Source organism: Homo sapiens, chromosome 7 (assembly GCF_000001405.40).
Source record: "Homo sapiens chromosome 7, GRCh38.p14 Primary Assembly".
NCBI lineage: Eukaryota > Metazoa > Chordata > Mammalia > Primates > Hominidae > Homo > Homo sapiens.
Window position 1 is genome coordinate 2499097 of NC_000007.14, and position 12355 is coordinate 2511451.

General features: G+C 62.5%; 1 long non-coding RNA gene across 1 annotated transcript, besides 6 other annotated features; it reads right to left on the reverse strand.

The window, feature by feature from the left end:
• Positions 252 to 1218: an enhancer, noted in NCBI's record as "H3K4me1 hESC enhancer chr7:2538982-2539948 (GRCh37/hg19 assembly coordinates)". NCBI's record gives its function as "activates a minimal SCP1, AML or CMV promoter by ChIP-STARR-seq in naive H9 embryonic stem cells {active_cell/tissue: H9 hESC(naive)}" and the evidence as "EXISTENCE:reporter gene assay evidence [ECO:0000049][PMID:30033119]".
• Positions 1219 to 2184: an enhancer, noted in NCBI's record as "H3K4me1 hESC enhancer chr7:2539949-2540914 (GRCh37/hg19 assembly coordinates)". NCBI's record gives its function as "activates a minimal SCP1, AML or CMV promoter by ChIP-STARR-seq in primed H9 embryonic stem cells {active_cell/tissue: H9 hESC(primed)}" and the evidence as "EXISTENCE:reporter gene assay evidence [ECO:0000049][PMID:30033119]".
• Positions 6761 to 9975, reverse strand: LOC107986759 (uncharacterized). The gene is made up of 3 exons (XR_001745066.2): positions 9634 to 9975; positions 8909 to 9021; positions 6761 to 8528 (listed from the first exon to the last, which is right to left on the reverse strand). It is a non-coding gene; the product is annotated as an uncharacterized LOC107986759 (long non-coding RNA).
• Positions 8665 to 9520: an enhancer, noted in NCBI's record as "nonconserved acetylation island sequence 106". NCBI's record gives its function as "activates a minimal heat-shock promoter by reporter assays in Jurkat T cells {active_cell/tissue: Jurkat}" and the evidence as "EXISTENCE:reporter gene assay evidence [ECO:0000049][PMID:17135569]".
• Positions 8867 to 9394: an enhancer, noted in NCBI's record as "H3K4me1 hESC enhancer chr7:2547597-2548124 (GRCh37/hg19 assembly coordinates)". NCBI's record gives its function as "activates a minimal SCP1, AML or CMV promoter by ChIP-STARR-seq in primed H9 embryonic stem cells {active_cell/tissue: H9 hESC(primed)}" and the evidence as "EXISTENCE:reporter gene assay evidence [ECO:0000049][PMID:30033119]".
• Positions 9040 to 9193: a silencer, noted in NCBI's record as "fragment chr7:2547770-2547923 (GRCh37/hg19 assembly coordinates)". NCBI's record gives its function as "represses an EF-1alpha promoter that drives an FKBP-Casp9 reporter gene in an ReSE screen in K562 erythroleukemia cells {active_cell/tissue: K562}" and the evidence as "EXISTENCE:reporter gene assay evidence [ECO:0000049][PMID:32094911]".
• Positions 12288 to 12337: a silencer, noted in NCBI's record as "silent region_17874". NCBI's record gives its function as "represses an Ori minimal core promoter by ATAC-STARR-seq in GM12878 lymphoblastoid cells {active_cell/tissue: GM12878}" and the evidence as "EXISTENCE:reporter gene assay evidence [ECO:0000049][PMID:35858748]".

Consider the following 12355-nt stretch of genomic DNA (forward strand, 5'->3'; position numbering starts at 1 on the left):
CTCAAAGGCCAGGCCTGCCGCTGCCCCCACTCACTGTCCTGCCACGGGTCCAGGCCTGGGAATGGGCTGGGCACTGTGGCAAATCACACGAGTGAATTTTCTGGACAATTGGGGCTGGAGATGTGGTGGTGTCTGAAGCAGCATCATGGGGCTGGGTCAGGGAGGCTGAGGCCCCCACTTGGTGCTGAGCCGCAGAGGAGGGATGGCAAGAGGTCTTGGGAAGGGGTCTACTGCTGGGGCAGAGGGTCCCAGGGCTGAGCTCCGGGGTGGCCAGGTCAGGTGGGCAGGACCTGGTGGGTGGAGGCTGGGGGAATGGTGAACGGGGCAGGCAGAGCTGGAGGCCAGGGCCCTGTGGAAGGAGCCAGGACCGGGGTCTGTGAGACAGGAGGGCCCAGTGCCCACATGGCTGAGGCTAGCTCTGGGACAATCTCCTGATGCGGACATGGGTCACGTCTGGAGACAAGCCCTTGGAGGAACTGGAGCTTAGAGTTGTAGTTGGAGCTGGGATCAGCTGGGAATGAGGACAGGGGTCAGGCGAGCCTCGGGGGTGCTAGCTTCTTCCCATGCTGGGATCCCTGCTCTGTCTATCCAGGTGACCTTCCCCTGCCCTACGCTGTGGCCCACAAGCCTGACTTGAGCCAGCTCATCCACTTAGGAAATGCAACCCCTGGCCAGAGCACGTCCACAATGAGGACTGCCCCCAGCGACGCCCCACCCTGGACCCCTGTTTAGTGGTAGCCAAGCCAGGTAACACTCAGCCCCTCTCAAGCCTGGGAGTCAGACCAGGTAACACGCAGGCCCTCCCACTCAGGGTCTGAGTCTACGTGGGTCCTGGACATTCCGTTCCGACCTGCAGGGGTGCCGAGAGGGTTGGGGAGGAAGGTGGAAGCTGGTTCTTGTTCCGGCCCAGCACCTGGCCCCCTGGCCACCCCACCCACCCTGGAAACCCCCCTCCTGGCTCCCTTCTTTCAGAGTGGGACAGGCCTTTCAGGGCTAGGAACGGAGGGCCTGGATTTCCATGTCAATGGCGAGGCAGGCCCGCCTGGTAAGCTGCTTAACAAGCCTCCAGCCCCATTGGGGTGTTAACTCAGGCCCCATTCTCCGGGCCCAGTCTCGCGGTTGCCATGGTGCCCTGCGTGGCCCTTTGGGCCGCGGCTAATCCCTTCTCTGGGCCTCTCATCCCGGCTGTCCCACCCCCGGGCTGGTCGCTGGTGACTTGGCCATGCCCAACAAGGCTGGTTTCTCTGCCGGGGTCAGGGGAGGTCATAAATCCAGCCCCCGTGGTCCCCAGCCCCTCGGCCCCGGCGCTTTGTCCCCGCCACTGTCCCCACATCCCCGGCCCTCCCGCTCTGGGAACTCCAGTGGTGGGAAGCGCGTTTGCCAGGTGGTCAGCCCCTCTCCCTGAGGAGAGAAGGGTCCCCGGCCCTGCCCTGGCTCTCTCCTGCACCCTGGTCACTATCACCCCTTATTCTCCCTCCTTTCCACTCCAGCCCTTCCAGGAATGAGCCAGGCTCATCCCTCAGGGCCTTCACTCCAGTCTTCTCATCCTTGGGTCGGGAGCGGTGAGCTCTTCCCCAGCCCGCGTCCCCGAAAGTCTCCCCTGGAATGACCCTTCCTTCCTCCGAGAGGCTGCAGGCCTGGCCCCCCCATCCTGTGGCACTGTCCCTTCTAGCACTCCATGAGAATCACGTGCTGTCCACCCTAATCCAGGGGGCAGGCCTGCAGCACCCAGGATGTGGCTGGCCTGTGGCAGGCTCTGCCACTCTGCGTGAAAGATAGCAGCTCTCGGCTGGGCGCAGTGACTCACGCCTGTAATCCCAGCACTTTGGGAAGCCGAGGCAGGTGGATCATGAGGTCAGGAGACCGAGACCTCAGCCGAGGTGGATCATCTGAAGTCACGAGTTAAAGACTAGCCTGGCCAACATGGTGAAACTCCATCTCTACTAAAAATACAAAAGATTAACTGGGCGTAGTGGTGCTCACCTGTAGTCCCAGCTACTCGAGAGGGTGAGACAGGAGAATCACTTGAACCTGGGAGAAGGAGGTTGCAGTGAGCCAAGATCACGCCGTTGAGCTCCAGTCTGGGCAACAAGAGTGAAACGGTCTCAAAAAAAAAAAAAGAGGGCCGGGCGCGGTGGCTCACGCCTGTAATCCCAGCACTTTGGGAGGCTGAGGCAGGCGAATCATGAGAGACCGGTGAAACCCCATCTCTACTAAAAATACAAAAAATTAGCTGGGTGCGGTGGCAGGCGCCTGTAGTCCCAGCTGTTCGGGAGGCTGAGGCAGGAGAATGGCGTGAACCCGGAAGGCAGAGCTTGCAGTGAGCCGAGATCACGCCACTGCACTCCAGCCTGGGCGACAGAGCGAGACTCCATCTCAAAAAAAAAAAAAAAAAAAAAAAGAAGAGAAAGATAGTGGTTCTCAGCTGCAGAGGGGGTATGGCCTGAGGTCAACAGCAGTCAAAGGGTTGGTCACCCCCGGGGTCCGGGCTGACCTGACTCCACCTTTGGGGTCTCACCTGAGCCAGCTCCTCCCTGGCCCCAGAATCTCACCTCAGAGACCACCTTCCCTCCTTCCAGCAGCGTCTGTTCCCAGAAGACAGGATCCCGGGATCCTGGAATTCCCGGCCGAGGTGTGATCTAAGGTTCACCAATTAGCCTGGACTCCAACTTCATGCTTGCTCCCCGGCCCTCCTCCCCTGCCAGCTTCTGCTTACCTGCCTCCCAATAGGGAGCTCACCATCTGGGCAGTTCGGACAGGGAGAAAGTGTCTCCTTGGGTGTTTGCTTCCAGATCTGGGCTTGGGCTTGGACGGCCGGGAACCATAGCTCAATGGGCTTTGCCCCTGCTGGTGGCTCCCAGCCTTGGGGTGCAGTGGGTGACTGCTCGCTCTCAGCTCTCAGCTCCCTGGCTGGGCCGTGGGTGAGTGGCTGTTGGCCAGGGCCTAGGCCCTATATACCCAAGCATCCCCTGAAGGTGCAGTGCAGAGGGGCCCAGCCTGTCCCCTAGAAGTGAGGTGCAGAGGGACCCAGCCTGTCCCCTGAAGGTGGGGTGCAGAAGGGCCCAGCCTGTCCCCGGAAGGTGGGGTGCAGAGGGACCCAGCCTGTCCCCTGGAGGTGGGGTGTGGGGGGCCCAGCCTGTCCCCTGGAGGTGGGATGTGGGGGGCCCAGCCTGTCCCCTGGAGGTGGGGTGCGGGGGACCCAGCCTGTCCCCTGGTGGTGGGGCATTGGGTCCCAGCCTGTCCCCTGGAGGTAGCTGTGGGAGATCTAGCCTGTCCCTTGGCCATGGGGAGTGGGGGTCCCAGCCTGTCCTCCCCACAGCTGGGCATGTACTGAGGGTTGCCCACAGCCTTTATTGCCCTTCGGTGTCTCATGGAAATTTCGTGGGGTTGGAAGGACAAGAAATGGTCCCATTTGGCAGCTGAGTAAACTGAGTCTTAGGAGGAAAGGCTGAGGCCTCCTGGGGGAGGCAGAGGCTGACACTGACCCTGCGGGTCCTGCAGCTAGAGGGAAACAGCCCCAGCCCACGTCTCACTGACGCCCTCTCCCCTCGGGATGGCTCTCGGACTCCTGTGGCCCAGACACCCACGCCCAGGCCCCCTCCCACGAGCCACCACCAGGGCTCTCGGCTCCCTGAAGCCCACCCTGCCAGGGGCAGTCCCGAAGGTGGGGGCCATCGGGGTGGGACGCTGAGCAATGCTGGGGTGAGGGGACAGGAGGTGCAAGATGAGGTGAGGGTGCTAGGACCCCGGGAGGTGGGCGGAACACGGAGGTCATTTGGGGTGGGGGGTGTGTGGTAGGGGGTGTGCTGGCTGGGCGGGACCCCGGGAGATGGGGGGAGCGAGGAGGTCATTTGGGGGTATGGGGGGTGTGAGGTGAGAGAGGCCAGCTGGGGGGAGGGTCACGGAGGCCTCTGGGCAGAGTGGGAGGAGGAAGCTCCTGTCAGCCTCAGTTTCCCCATCTGCCACAGGAGCTGAGGAGGGGTTTGGCACCTCTAGGGCTTCTCAGGAGGTCTGGCAACAAGGCCTCCCATACACCCCGCATTGGGGAGGGATGGTCAGGGGCCGGGACAGCAGGAAGAAGGGATTTCGGGGAGGACAGGCGGGGGAGCTTCTCCCTGCAGTCTGTGCGTGGGTGAGAGCGAGATTCCAGAACTCTCCGGGGAGACTGTGGAAGATCTGCAGCCGCTGTGCTGTCTCAGCCTGTGGCTGCCCCGACCCTGCGCTTCCTGTCCGGACCCCCTCCCAGAGACCCTCAGCTGACACATCGTGGGGGTCGGGCTCCTCTGCCGAATGGGAGACTTCACAGCCCAGAGAAGACATGAGACTTGCCCAAGGCCACACAGCAAGAACCCATGACTGCCTGCAGAATCAATGCACGAATGAATGAATGTCCTGGTGGGCTGCTGTGTGAGCTGTCTGTGCCATGGGCTGACTCTTGGAGTAGCAGAGCCTTTCTGCTGCCCTCACGGCTGTACCTGCAGGTGGTCTCCTGTCCCCGGGTTCTGTCCTGGGGTGGAGGTGGGCAGAGACAGCAGACTTGCCCACAGCCACCCCTCTGGCTGCGGTGGCTGGCACAGGCTGCGCTGGGGGTGCACGGGTCTGCCGTTGTGTGGGCACCTGCAGCCGTGCCAGGCAGCGAGTTGGAGCAGGCCCGCCCACATGGGAATGGGCCCAGCCTCCTGCCTGCAGGGGCCCGAGGCCCCCAGCCCCCAGCCCTGCCTTCCTCCATCCACCCCCAGCTGATCCTCCCACTCCTTGGCACCCACTAACCTCACATGGTCTTTCCTCAGGCCTGCCCTCTCTGGGGCTCAGTTTCCTGGCTGTGGCAAGGCAGATAAAAGCAACCCCTAGGGCACAGCTGTGGGACTCAGAGACCCCGTGAAGGGCACAGGCTTGGTGGAGGGGGTCTCACTGGGGAGTCCGGGGGGAGAGGGCTCAGCCTCCAGGCAGGCAGACCTGCATTCAAGCTCCTGCTCCTATTTTAAAACCAGTCCCTGATCTAAACCGTATGCCCATGGCCAGGGCTCGGCAGTGAACAAGACAGGTGAGGCCCCGGCGCTTTGAAGTTCCCAGCACAGCTGGGACTGTGAGACAATTATAATGGTCATGGTAAGAATAACAGCGGCCTGGCACTGCACCCTCACCGTGTACCATACCCGATGCCTTGTGTCATCTGCACAACACCCTTCAAAGCGGGCCTTCTAGTTATTCCCATTTTACAGCTGAAGAAACTGAGGCACAGACAGGTTGTGCCACTCACGTAAGGCCACCCAGCTAATAACTAGCAGAGGCAAGATGGAAGCCCTGGGAGTGTGGATCCAAGAGGCAGATGAACTGGGCTGGCTGACGGCCTTGAGCAAAGCACCCAGCCCTTCTCAGCCTCAGTTTCCCCCTGAGGTTCTGCTGCCAAACCCAGGGCAGGTCTGGGAAAGGGCAGACAGGGAGTCGGCTTGCAGAGCTGTCGGGCTGTGGGCCCCCAGCACCAGGAGTCTCCCTTTCAGGACCTGTGAAATGGGGTCATGGTCCTGACCCCTAAGGAGGACTGCGTGGCTAAGGAGCTGCTTGGAAGCCCCTGGCCTGCAGCCCACCAGCCTCACCTGGGCCGACGCCCTCCACCAGCACGGGCCAGGGGCTGCAGAGAAAGCCTCAGGCATGAACATCGTAGGGGGCGGGCACAGGGGTCGTGGGAAGGGGCTTCGGGGGAGGTCCCTGTGGACACACCTGAGCAGCCCGGCCTCCTGGGGGCTGCGGGAGAGGCAGCAGAGCCAGCCCGCTCAACAGCAGGGCCACAATTGCCTGTGGCCCCTGGGGAGTGACACCCCCCCCCCCCCCCCCCGGCTCCACAGAGGCGAGGATGGGAAGAGGCGGAGGAACCGGCTGTGCGGGACACCTGAGCCCCGGACCAGGCCTCCCAGGGGGTGGCCGCCTTGGGGCTGAGAGGCAGAGAGGAGGTCAGTTCCCACCGCCTCCCCGCAGAGGCCCTGGGAGGAAGCGGGTCAGCAGGTGGTGGGCCAGCTGGGGCCTGGGCCTGCCCCAACCCGCATCTGCTGGGCAGGGGCGTCCAGGCCAGCGCCTCCTGGCCTCAGTTTCTGGATCTGTCACTAGGGACACTGTCCCTCCCCTCTCTGGCCCCTGGGAGCAAGGCTGGTGTGCAGAGCCCTTATCCCATTTCGCAGACGGGGACACTGAGACCCCCGGCAGGGCTCATGGGTGATGCAGGAGTGTTCCCAGCTCTGCTGCCGCCTGGCCGCATGTCAAGGTCGAGGAAGGCATCAGCAGGTGGACGCTCGGAGACCTGGCTTCAAATCTTGACCCTACCACCTCCGGGCTGGGGGAGCACCGAGCCTTGGTTTCCACATGGTGTAAATGGCGCTTTGGAAGATCAACTGAGCCTGCGCTTGGCACAGGTGATTATGGGGTGGAAAGCACCTTCCGGCTGGTGGAGCAAGTGCTGGAAGCCGGGACTCGCTGGCCCAGGGCCTGGTGGCCGCTGGCCCGGAGCTCATGCCCGGACCTGAGGGCTGGGGGAGAAACATCCTGCCCGTGAGTGGGCCTGGCATGAGGTCTATGGCGGGCCTGGGGCTAAGGGCCCATCTCTGTGTCTATGTGCGCCCCTCTGGGCCTGACGTGGGGTCTATGGCAGGCCTGGGGCTTAGGACCCATCTTTGTGTCTGTGTGCACCCCCTGTTTCTTGTGCCAGGCAGGTGCCTGCAGTCCCTAGAGCTGGGCAGGGGGCACAGGGGCCAGGCGTTTTCTCTCCATTCTTTTCACACAGGGGCGGGGACCACAGGCCGTGTTCCTAGTGGGCAGGCACGGTGCTGGCCTCTCCTTGAGAGGCCTGCCTGCACCATCAGGCCTCAGCCCCCCAACTTATACTTCCCAGCCCTCCTCGCTGTCCCCCAACTTACACATGCCAAGGGAGGCCGCCATGGCTCCCGAGCCCACCTGGATGAAGTGCAGGGGACCTGGCTCAGCAGTGAAAGAAGACCCAACTTCCCAGATTCCTGGTATTTTGGGGTGTTGTGGGTTGAATAGAGGACCCCCAAAATGATGTGTCCAAGTTCTAACCCGCAGAACCCATGAAGGGGACGTTGTTTGGAGAAGGGCTCTTTGTTTTTGTTTTTTTGTTTTGTTTTGAGATGGAGTCTCACTCTTGTCACCCAGGCTGGGGTGCAGTGGCTCAATCTCAGCTCACTGCAACCTCCGCCTCCTGGGTTCAAACAATTCTCCCGCCTCAGCCTCCCAAGTAGCTGGGACTACAGGCATGCGGCACCATTCCCAGCTAATTTTTGTATTTTTAGTAGTGCCGGGGTTTCACCGTGTTGGCCAGGCTGGTCTTGAACTCCTGACCTCAAGTGATCCACCTGCCTCAGCCTCCCAAAGTGCTGAGATTACAAGCATGAGCCACCACACCCAGCCTGGAGAAGGGCTCTTTGTAGAAGTAATTAAGTTAAGGATCTTGAGTTGAGAGGGCACACAGGCTCAGAGAGAAGGCCGTGTGAAGAAAGAGGCAGAGTTGGGGTGAGGTCTCCCTAAGCCACCCAAGTCTTGCGGGCAGCCGCCAGACACTGCTGGGGACAGAGCGGACAGAGGAGACCCTTCCTGGCCTCGGGAGGAACCAGCCCTGTGGGCACCTTGATCTCGACTTCTGGCCTCCCAAACTGTAAGATAATGAATATATTTTGTTTCCAGCCAAGTCTGTGGCCATTTGTTAAAGCAGTCCTGGACACTAACTCGGGGGGACAGCAGGAGGTTTCGAGAACCTGGGAGGGAGGGGCGAGGGCTTGGGAGAGGGGCTCAGTGGGGTGCCACGTGGGAAGCCCTCCCTCAGGGGCGACTCCACGGATGGATCCCTGAACCCCGGCTCAGGCTTCTGCTCACTGGTCGGGTGGGTTGTCGAGGTGGGCTCACAGCAAAGGCCTCCCAGACCCCCATTCCCCAAGGGACCAGGTCTGGCTGGGAACTCCTGCAGCCCAGCCACGGGATGCCTCCCAGCCCCCACAATCCCATGCACTGGGCAGGGATGCCAGGGGGCCTTTTTCTTTCCCCTCGAATTCTATCTCTGTAAGGAAGGACATCCCCTCACCCTCTGCACTGCCCAGCCCTGGCCCCCACCCCCCTCAGACCTGGGAGCCCCCCGAGTTCTCTCTGAAGCTTGGCCCATGCACACGAGCACAGCCCTGGCTTCTGGGAGGTGCTGCTCAGATGCTCCCTGAGCGAGGGAGCCAGCAGCTCAGCCGGCCCCGGGGCCTTTGCACCTGCCGTTTCCTGCCCCAGGATGGTGTCCCCAGGTACCCTCCATGTCTCGGCCCATGCACCTGCTTGTCTGTCCCTCCTCGGCTACCCAGGCTTGCCCGGCGTTCTCCACCCACTTCTCGCATGTTATCGCGGGACCCCCTCGCGGAGTTGTTTGCTGGCCCTCTCTCTCCCTGCCGGCCGCTGGGATGCTGTGAGTTCCGGAGGGCAAAGCTGGGTCTGTGTGGCTCCTGTCCCATCTCCAGTGTCCGACATCACAATGATATTTCCAGCTACAGGAAAGGGAGAGTTCGGTGGCTGCGCGGGGCTGGCCAGGGTGACCCTGAAGATTCTCCTGCCTGAATGGCCCATCCGTTTGCCCGATGCCGGCCTCCCTCTACCAAAGGCCTCAGCAGCAGCTGCCTCTCAGCCCCCAGCCTCTGCCCCATGCCTAGAGGAGTCACCAGGCCTGGCTCTTGGAGGACACACCCAGCCCAAATGCCCTCTGCTCCTAAAGCAAAGCTCAGTGGGGCCCAGAGTGGCCCTCCGGCAAGAAGCCCCAAGAGGATTTCAGGGCAGCCATAGTCACAAGTGCCCTGACCTGGGAGGGGCCCTCCTTGGGGTCTAGCCCCATCCTGCCAGAGCTGGCTGTGTGCCCCTAAGCAGACCCTACCTGTCTCTGGGAATATGTCCGCTGGGTCCAGGGAGCAAGTAGACAGCCTCCTTGCTCCACCTGCTCTGGAGACAGAGGCCACTGGGATGACAGCAGAAGTCACGGAAGGCTGCCTGGAGGAAGAGGCAGTCACATGTTAGGATGAATGCAAACACTGGGGAAGCTGACCCCACTTCTTGAAGCAAAACCTTCCTGATGGGGCCCAACCTCCTGTCCAAGGTTGCCGCCACTACGCTGGGCAGAAAACATGTGTTAGGGCCATGCCCCAGCCCGAGCGAGGCCTGGCCCTGGCCTCCCACCTTGGCCTGTTCGTCTTACCCCCATCAAGCAGGAGGCCAGCCCGACCCGCCTCCTCCTTCCGGAGTCTCCAGCTGTACAAGGGGAGGGAGCCATCTCGGGGCAGCCGGGTCGGGCTCTGGGTGTGTGCACACAGGGACACACGTGTCCCTGCACATGGCCAGCCCACATGTGCAGAGTGGCAGCGCGCCATGCTCCCCACGGGCTCACCCGTGCTTCCGCACACACGCGTGAAGCACGTAAGCACCGCACGATCACAGGCCCCTCTCGCGCTCCGAGGCATGTGCCGGCCGGCATGCATCCTGCCAGGGAATCTGCGTCTCTGTCGGTGACATACTCCGTTTCCTGCCACAGCCCTGGTATGCCCCAGGAGTAATTACTAACAGAGTTCCCTCCCAGCCTTGAAAGACGATATACTATGTGGTCACCTCTGTCTGGGCCACCAAGAGGATCCCAGCTGGGCTTTTGCTGAGCGGGGCACAAAAGCCATCAGGAGCCAGTCTTGGGGACTACAGCTGGGGGTCGGTGACCTTGATCAGGCCCAGGGAGGCTGAGAGGAGTCTCGCCCACGCTGCACCCACAGCCCCGCTCATTCCACACCTGAGTCTTCAGAGAAGGAAATGCAAGACCGTGCAGTTAGGACCTGGAATTGTCAGCCTGTCCCCATCCTGCCAGCGGGGATTGGCCTGTGGTTTTGTCAGCTGCCAGCCAGCGGCTGAGGACCAGCCCTGCAATCTGAGTGGGGGCCTGTGGGAGGATGCAGCTGAGGGGAGTGGCGAAGCTGAAGAAACTCTCGAGAAAGGTGGGAGGGGCCGGGGCAGTGTCAGGGCCGCTGTGCACATCCGTGCAGGTCGTGCACTGACTGGCAGCACACATCTGAGATCCAGCCCGTGCTCCGCTCATCGGGTTGTGAAGAAGCAGTACCTCTTTCCAAGCAGTGGCCCAGGCAGTAAGCGGAGCATCTGGCAGGCGGGGTCCACACTTCCCCAAGACCCTGTGCTGGCTGTGGCTGTATGTGCACACTTCTACATGACTTGCAGGGTGCCCAAACGGCCCGGAGGAGGCCGGGACCCCAGCCCCCAGGCCAGGGCTCCCGTGAGTAGGGAGACGCATCACTCTCTGGCCCCGGAGGCTGTGCTTCCCAGGCCATCACAATGGCCACACAACAGGGGCCCTCAGGGACGGAACCTAATCTTGAGCTATTGAAGACCTGAAAGCCGTGGCCCCTGGCCCGAGCCAGCAGACGCGCCTGCCGGCCCCACCAGAGACACCTGATCCACCGGTCGCCCCGCCACAAAGGGGGACACTGTCCCCCCAGGGCCGCCCGCCCCACCAACAGAGACAAGGAGGAAAACTGGGTCGCTGAGATAGAGTGACAGCCATGGCAGGTGGGGATGAGACAGGAGGGAGGGGCGGCCACCACTGGGCACAGCCCAGCCTCTGGGGATGCCCCAGGCCTGAAGATCTGCCCGAGGGGGGCTCAGAGCCCCGAGGAGGGCTCAAGTGACTGCCGGTTTGCAGGGAGTGGGGTGGAGGCTGGAGTGGGGGGCGCAGCTGAGACCAGAAAGAAACAGCTAGGACCCCACCTGAGGCTGGAGACACAGCCAGGACAGGGGACTCTCCACCCAGAGAGACGCCATAGGCCAGGTTGTTGGGGACAGGCCTGGACTGGTCCCCAGGCCCCACCCTGCTGAGGCAGGCCAGCCAGCTGCCCACCCCTTGGCCTGGGCATGTCCAGCTTTTGCTCAGTTTCCCAGCCTGGCAGGGCTTTCCGAGGGGTTGCAGGGAGAAGCAGGCCTGGCCAAAAGACCGCCATGCCTGAAGGTTCACCTTCACCCCCTGGCACCACCAAAGACCCCGCCCAGGGGAAGTCTTGGAGCCTCAGCGCCTCAGAACTTTGGGACTTCCTGGCATATGGGAGGCACCCGGAGGTGTGAGCCTGAGGGGTTCACTTTCAAGGGTGGCTGGAGACACCTGCTGCTGGCCATGTGGGCCTGGGAGGCCTTCTGGGGCCTCCATCTTCCCATCTGTGAAATGGGACTTGGACCTAGATGCTCTTCAAGGTCCCTTCTTCCAAGTCTTCTGGCAAGAGCCAAGTCCAGGAAGCTCAGCTCCATTGCGTCGGCATCTGGACTGAGTACTCTGTGGGTGCCGGGCTGTGCTGAGGGCTGGACGGGACCCAGGAACAGACAACAGGTAGAGTGGAGGAGGGAGCAGCGAGGAGACTTCCCACAGGGGTGGAGACGCTGAGCACTCCAGGCAGACACAGAGGGGCGGCTGGAGTGTGGGGATCCTGGGCCTGGCAGGGCCTGGGGGGTTCGGCAGGCAGAGTGGGCCAGGGGGTGGCCTGAGGACGCCAGGGGCAGAGCCAGCCCTCCCAACTGGGCAGTGGGGAGCCAAGGGAGGGTGGCAGAGCCGAGCCCCATCTCTAAGATATGGGGACAGCCCTCAGAGCCAGCTCCCACCCAGCTCCAGCTCAGGACAAGCAGTGGGCATGGAACTGAGATGCAGGAAGGCCGAGGTCTGGAGACGCACGTGGGCTCCCCGAGGTGACCTAGGGGTGGGCGGCCCTCAGCCCTGCCCGGAGATCCCTGGTCCTACTGAGTCAGCCACCGGGGAGAAGATAAGGGACCGCCAGGCTCTTAAGGGGCCTGACGTTGCTGTTGGGTGAAGTGCCCGCCCAGAATGACCTCAGAGGCTGCCGGGGCCACCTGGCATATCACCCTGCCCGTCTCCGCAGCTTCCTCTGGCAGTGGGTGGATGTATAATGTCCGCCCGCTGCCAGAGGGTTCACGGCACCACAGCCCTGCTGAGCCCTGCTGAGCCCCAGCTGGGTCCGACCTCCTGGGTACCCCAGGGACGGGGAGGCCAGGCACGGGGGTTGCTGTGCGGGTTGGACAGTGGTGATGGTGGACAGAGCCACTCCCAAGAGTGTTAGAGACCTGGGGTGGGGGCATCCAGGCAGACCACCCTCACCCCACCCTGTGGGACCCAAACCAGCTCACTTCCCTCTCTGGGCTCAGCTTCCTCATTTGCAAAATGAGGCCAAGAGTCACACCCGGCCCGGCCTGTGACCCCGGAGCCCCCTCCAGCCTCCTGCCTCACTCTGGCACCAGGCCTCCCTGCAGCTTGCAGAGCAAGCGGGGTACC